The sequence below is a fragment of the Homo sapiens genome, chromosome 9 (genome assembly GCF_000001405.40).
Source record: "Homo sapiens chromosome 9, GRCh38.p14 Primary Assembly".
Lineage (NCBI taxonomy): Eukaryota > Metazoa > Chordata > Mammalia > Primates > Hominidae > Homo > Homo sapiens.
The window spans coordinates 88,515,146-88,521,596 of record NC_000009.12 but is presented as its reverse complement, the minus strand read 5'-3'; the positions used below and the strand labels follow the sequence as shown (position 1 = coordinate 88,521,596).

General features: G+C 45.8%; 1 annotated feature.

Annotated features, from left to right (window-relative positions):
- Positions 1,224 to 1,928: an enhancer, noted in NCBI's record as "H3K27ac-H3K4me1 hESC enhancer chr9:91134584-91135288 (GRCh37/hg19 assembly coordinates)". NCBI's record gives its function as "activates a minimal SCP1, AML or CMV promoter by ChIP-STARR-seq in naive and primed H9 embryonic stem cells {active_cell/tissue: H9 hESC(naive and primed)}" and the evidence as "EXISTENCE:reporter gene assay evidence [ECO:0000049][PMID:30033119]".

Here is a 6,451-nt window from a genome sequence, read left to right as displayed (position 1 = left end):
TAAGCCCTGCAGTTGCTGCAAGTGCACTGGCTCAGTGGGTGGAATCGGAAAGCTACTTCCTCTCTGTGAAGCGCTGAGCTCAGCTCAGAGCCACGGCCTCTGTGGGGGCACTTCTCCAGCTAAGCCACATTTACAAACTTCAGCTTTCAAAGCAGTCTCCAAGCCCAAGCAACAGGGCTTCTGGAGAGCAGCTCAGCGATGAAATCACCCCCTAATTAGCAACCTGAGAGAGGATTACATAAAAGACCCAAGATAATGTAATGCTCTTTTTGAAGGTAAAAGAGAAAACTCTAAACTGTATTACCTTTTTACCTTCTCTTCATATCAGAAATCATTGTGGGAAGCTCATTCCTCTTTCTGCGCGTCCCCATTCTCCTTTCCAATCAGCCCTCCTCCCCCAACACAGGCACTTACAAATTCTGGAAATATCACTGCTTTGAGAAAACAAATAGGTTGTCAGGACAAGCGTCTCTAAAGGGAAAATGGTTTTCCCTGGCAGGATGAAAAACATTAAATCACAAGAATTTCTGTCTATGTGCTACCACCTGAAATGGAAAAGTTTTGTTCATTCCACCAGACAAACAGCTGATGTTTAAGTCCTGACCCCGGGTGCAGTGAGGTCCTAAAGCGTATAGCATAACCATCAGCATGGCCCACTGTTGGGGGTATGGGGAGGAGTGGAGACCAGGACCCCATGGGCACTAGGGCCTGGGGATCCCGCAACCAGGTTGTAAGCACCAAGGTGTTTCTTCCTGCCCATTGTATAAAGAAAGACCATAGCATTGCAGTAAAGAAAGAGTTTAATAGAGACAAGGCCGTTCATGACCATGGGAGATGGAATTTATACTCAAATCATCTTGTCCAAAGCTCGTGGGTTAGGGTTTTTTTGTTTTTTTGTTTTTGTTTGTTTGTTTGAGACAGTCTCGCTCTTTCGCCCAGGCTGAAGTGCAGTGGTGCAATCTCGGCTCACTGCAACCTCCGCGCCTCAGGTTCAAGCAATTCTCCTGCCTCAGCCTCCTGAGCAGCTGGGATTATATGCGCCCCCCACCACACCTGGCTAATTTTTTTGTATTTTTAGTAGAGACAGGGTTTCGCTATGTTGGCCAGGCTGATCACCCGCCTAGATCTCCCAAAGTGCTAGGAAGGATTACAGGCGTGAGCCACCATCCCCAACCAAGGGTTAGGGGTTTTTCTTTCCTTTTTTGTTTTTTTTTTTTTTTTTTTTTTTGAGAGGGAGTTTTTTGCTCTTGTTTCCCAGGCTGGAGTGCAATGGCGCTGTCTCGGCTCACTGCAACCTCTGCTTCCCGGGTCCAAGTGATTCTCCTGCCTCAGCCTCCCGCATAGCTGGGATTACAGGTGCCCGCCACCACACCCAGCTAATTTTTTGTATTTTTAGTAGAGATGGGGCTTCATCATGTTGGCCAGGCTGGTCTGAAACTCCTGACCTCAGGTGATCCACCCACTTCGGCCTCCCAAAGTGCTGTGATTACAGGCATGAGCCAACATGCCCGGCCAGGAGTTTTTCAAAGGCAGTTTGGGGGAAGGGCTGTGGGTGGCTGCTGATTGGCTGAGGTGGAGATGAAATCATAGCAGGTGGAAGCTGCCCTCCTGCGAGCTCAATAGCTTCTGGTGGGCCACAGGAGTGGGGTTGGTAGGTCCAGGTGGAACCATAGATGTCAGACATGAAGATAAAACTGAAAAGATATCTTAGGTTCTACAACAGTGATATTATTTGCAGGAGTAATTGGGGAAGTTGCATATCTTAAAACCTCAAGAATAATGGCTGACAATCGTTTATGTCTGCGCCTTAGCAGGACGCAGGCTCCTCTCCACCTCCCAGCCTGATGGCCTCCCATTAGCTTTACAAAAGCGGTTGAATTTGGGGGGAGACCTATTAACACTATATCCTAAAAGTCTCTCAAAGTTAGCTCAGCCCAATAACCCAGGAATAATTAAGGGGAAGGCAAGACGCAGGGTGGGTTAGCTCAGATCTCTTTCACTGTCATACTTTTCTCACTGATACAATTTTTGCAAAAGCAGTTTCAAGATCATAGCAAGGGGCAGAAACCAGCTCCGCCCCACATCTGAGCCCCCAAAGGAATTCAGGTCGGGAGTCAGCATCCACGGCCAGGGTCACTGGAGAATTCAGGCTCAGAAATCCTGCACATGGGTGTCTAAACATCTGTGGCTGACTTTAGTTCTTATGGAACTGAAGACTTTTCTGAAGGGGAAAGAGGCCCCATAGTGGGTAACCAGCCCCTATTCTGTGCTTCTGCTGAGACGGCCCCTGGATGCCAGTGATCAGGCCAGAATTGGGATCCACTAGTAGGGACATCCTGTCACCAGAAAGCAGGGATGTTCCTGAATATTCCATGATCCCTTTCCTGATGGCTGTGTCTAACCCACGTTTTCTCTACTCTTAGATCCAAGCAAGGGATTGGCTACCTGCCCCCCACAAGATATTTTATTCACCTGACACGTCTTCTCAATTGAGATGAGCCCTTTTTTAACCATCCATAAACACATTCATGCACCATATGTTTCCGCCAACTACAGACGACATAGACAACGGTGGTCCCCTAAGATTATGATACCGTATTTTTACTGTGCCTTTCTATGTTTAGATATGATAGATACACACTTACCACTGTGCTCCAACTGCCTACAGTATTGAGTACGTCACACACTGTACAGTTTTGTAGCCTAGGAGCAATAGGCTTTATCATATGGCCTCCTAGGTGAGTAGGAAGCCATACCATCTAGGTTTGTGTGAGTACACTCCATGATATTCACAGGATGACAAAATCGCCTAGCACCACATTTCTCTGAACATATTCCTGTCTGCCGGGCATGGTGGCTCATGCCTGTAATCCCAGCACTTTGTGAGGCTGTGGTGAGTGGATCATCTGAGGTCAGGAGTTCAAGACCAGCCTGGCCAACATGGTGAAACCTCATCTCTGCTTACAAAATAAAACATTAAAAAATAAATAAATAAATTAGCATGGCCAGGTGTGGTGGCTCACGCCTGTAATCCCAGCATTTTGGGAGGCCGAGGTGGGCGGATCACCTGAGGTTGGGAGTTTGAGACCAGCCTGACCAACATGTAGAAGCCCCATCTCTACTAAAAATACAAAATTAGCCAGACATGGTGGCACATGCCTGTAATCCCAGCTACTTGGGAGGCTGAGGCAGGAGAATCGCTTGAACCCAGGAGGCGGAGGTTGCGGTGAGCCAAGACGGCACCATTGCACTCCTGCAGCCTGGGCAACAAGAGCGAAACTCCATCACAAAATAAATAAATAAATAAATTAGCTGGGCATGGTGGTGCAACGCCTGCAGTTCCAACTACTTAAGAGACTGAGGCAGGAGAATCACTTGCACCCAGGAGGCAGAGGTTGCAGTGAGGGGAGATTGCGCCATTGCACTCCAGCCTGGGCGACGGAGCAAGACTGCCTCAAAAAAAAAAAAAAAAAAACCACCAAAAAAAGCACATATTCCTGTCATTAACTGACACATGACTGCTCCAGTATGTTATCTCTAAACATATAAGACTCTTTTAAAAAATTTAACTACAGTGCCATTACCACACCTACTAAAAAGTAAAATAATTCTTTAATAACATCCAGTGGCAAAGTAGGTTGCAGTTTACTCAATGGCAATTCCTCATGTTCAAATTCTCCCAAGTTTCAAAGGTTAAAAGGTTAAAAAGTCTTTTTTTTTTACACTTGGTTTGCTCAAGTGAGGACCCAAAGAAAACCACTCATTAAATGTGGTTGGTTGAACAAACATATGAAAAAAGTCATCATCACTGATCATTAGAGAAATGCAAATCAAAACCACAATGAGATACCATCTCACGCCAATTTGAATGGCGATCATTAAAAAGGCAGGAAACAACAGATGCTGGAGAAGATGTGGAGAAATAGGAATGCTTTTACACTGTTGGAGGGAGTGTAAATTAGTTCAGCCATGGTGGAAGACAGTGTGGCGATTCCTCAAGGATCTAGAACTAGAATTACCATTTGACCCAGCAATCCCATTACTGGATATATACCCAAAGGATTATAAATAATTCTACTATAAAGACACACGCACACGTATGTTTATTGTGGTACTGTTCACAATAGCAAAGACTTGGAACCAACCCAAATGCCCATCAATGATAGACTGGATAAAGAAAAGGTGGCACATATATACCATGGAATACTGTGCAGCCATGAAAAAGGATGAGTTCATGTCCTTTGCAGGGACATGGATGAAGCTGGAAACCATCATTCTCAGCAAACTAACACAAGAACAAAAAACCAAACACCGCATGTTCTCACTCAAAAGTGGGAACTGAACAATGAGAACACATGGACACAGGGAGGGGAACATCACACACTGGGGCTTGTCGGGGGGTGGGGGACTAGGGGAGGGATAGCATTAGGAGGAATACCTAATGTATATGACGGGTTGATGGGTGCCACAAACTACCATGGCATGTGTATACTTATGTGACAAACCTGCACATTCTGCACATGTACCCCAGAACTTAGAGTATAAAAAAAAAAAGTGGTTGGCTAGGTTGGGTTCACACCTGTAAACCCAACACCTTGAGAGGCCAAGGTGGGCGGATCATTTGAGGTCAGGAGTTCAAGACCAGCCTGGTGTGGTGGCGCATGCCTGTAGTCCCAGCTACTCAGGAGGCTGAGGCGGGAGAATGGCTTGAACTTGGGAAGCAGAGGTTGCAGTGAGACTGCACCAATGCACTCCAGCCTGGGTGACTGACTGAGACCCTGTCTCAAAAAGAAAGAAAGGAAGGAAGGAGGGAGGGAGGGAAGGAAGGAAGGAAGGAAGGAAGGAAGGAAGGAAGGAAGGAACAAAATGTGGTTGATCAGTCTCCAGGCCTCTTTCAATGTATTAAAGCCTCCCCCGCTACTTTTCCCCATACTGTTTACTCACTGAAGAAGCCGAGTTGTTTAGCTTAGAGAAGTTTCCAGTCTGGATTTGGCAGATGGTTTACTTGTGGTGTCATTAATTTATCCCTCCATGCCTGGTTTCCTGTAAGACATTGGTTTAAACTAGAGGGTCGGCCGGCATGGTGGCTCACGCCTGTAATCCCAGCACTTTGGGAGGCTGAGGCAGGTGGATCACCTGAGGTTGGGAGTTTGAGACCAGCCTGGCCAACATGGAGAAACCCCGTCTCTACTAAAAATAAAAAATGAGCCGGGCATGGTGGTGCATGCCTGTAGTCCCAGCTACTCGGGAGGCTAAGGCAGGAGAATTGCTTGAACCCAGTGGGTGGAGGTTGCTGTGAGTAGAGATTGCGCCATTGCACTCCAGCTCTGGGCAACAAGAGCGAAACTCCATCTCAAAAAAAATTAAAATTTAAATTAAAAAAATAAACTAGAGGGTTGATTTTTTTTTTCTTTTATTGGTGAGCTACCTCTTAGGTGATGCTGAGTGCTTCCCACAGCATCGCTTCCATCAAAACTGATCAGTGGTTTCAGGTGTTGTCAACCTGCTCTGTCCTTTAAAAGTTTTCCTCAAAATTTCACCTACGGCTTTAGCATCCACTGATTATTTTTGTCTCAATCTGTTACTTCAGCCTGTTTAACATGGTGACTTCCTAATCCAATCCTCCCTTTAGCTTTCTGCACTGACATTTTTCCATAAAGAAGACCTTTCCCTCCTCTGGTATGGTTTCCCTGAGGTGCCGTTCATGCAGAAAAAGCTGGATACATGTTTGACTCTTTATGGATTTTCAAAATGAGTGACACCCACCAACCTTGAAAGGGAGCTAATGCATTTTATTAAATATTTTTATTAATACATATGGCATTTTATAAATTTGATGTGCTTTGATCCATTGTAGCAGTTTTTCTTTCTAATGTTCAAATCATTTCTTTGGCCAGTAGGACTCCTTTCAAATTAGCTGTGTCCTTCTAAAATGACCCAGAGCCGGGCGCAGTTGTTCATGCCTGCAATCCCAGCACTTTGGGAGGCCAAGGCAGACAGATCACAAGGTTAGGAGTTTGAGACCAGCGTGGCCAACATGGTGAAACCCCTTCTCTACTAAAGATACAAAAAATTAGCCGGGCATGGTGGGACGCACCTGTAATCCCAGCTACTCGGGAGGCTGAGGCAGGAGAATTGCTTGAACCCGGGAGGTGGAGGTTGCAGTGAGCCAAGATCATGCCAGTGCACTCCAGCCTCAGTGACAGGGCGAGACTCCATCTCAAAAAAATAAATAAATAAATAATAATAAATAAATAAAATGACCCTCGTAGTTTTTGTTGTTTGGCACAAAATGTGCCCCAGGTTTGTCTTGTGCATTTCCTGCCCCAGACTGGAATCAGCCATTGCTCCAAAGAGCCCTACTCTTTTTTTAGAGGAATACGGTATTTAGCAACCAAATCATTAGAGAATTAGAAGTGTTACATGACAGAGGTCCCCATCCAGACCCCAA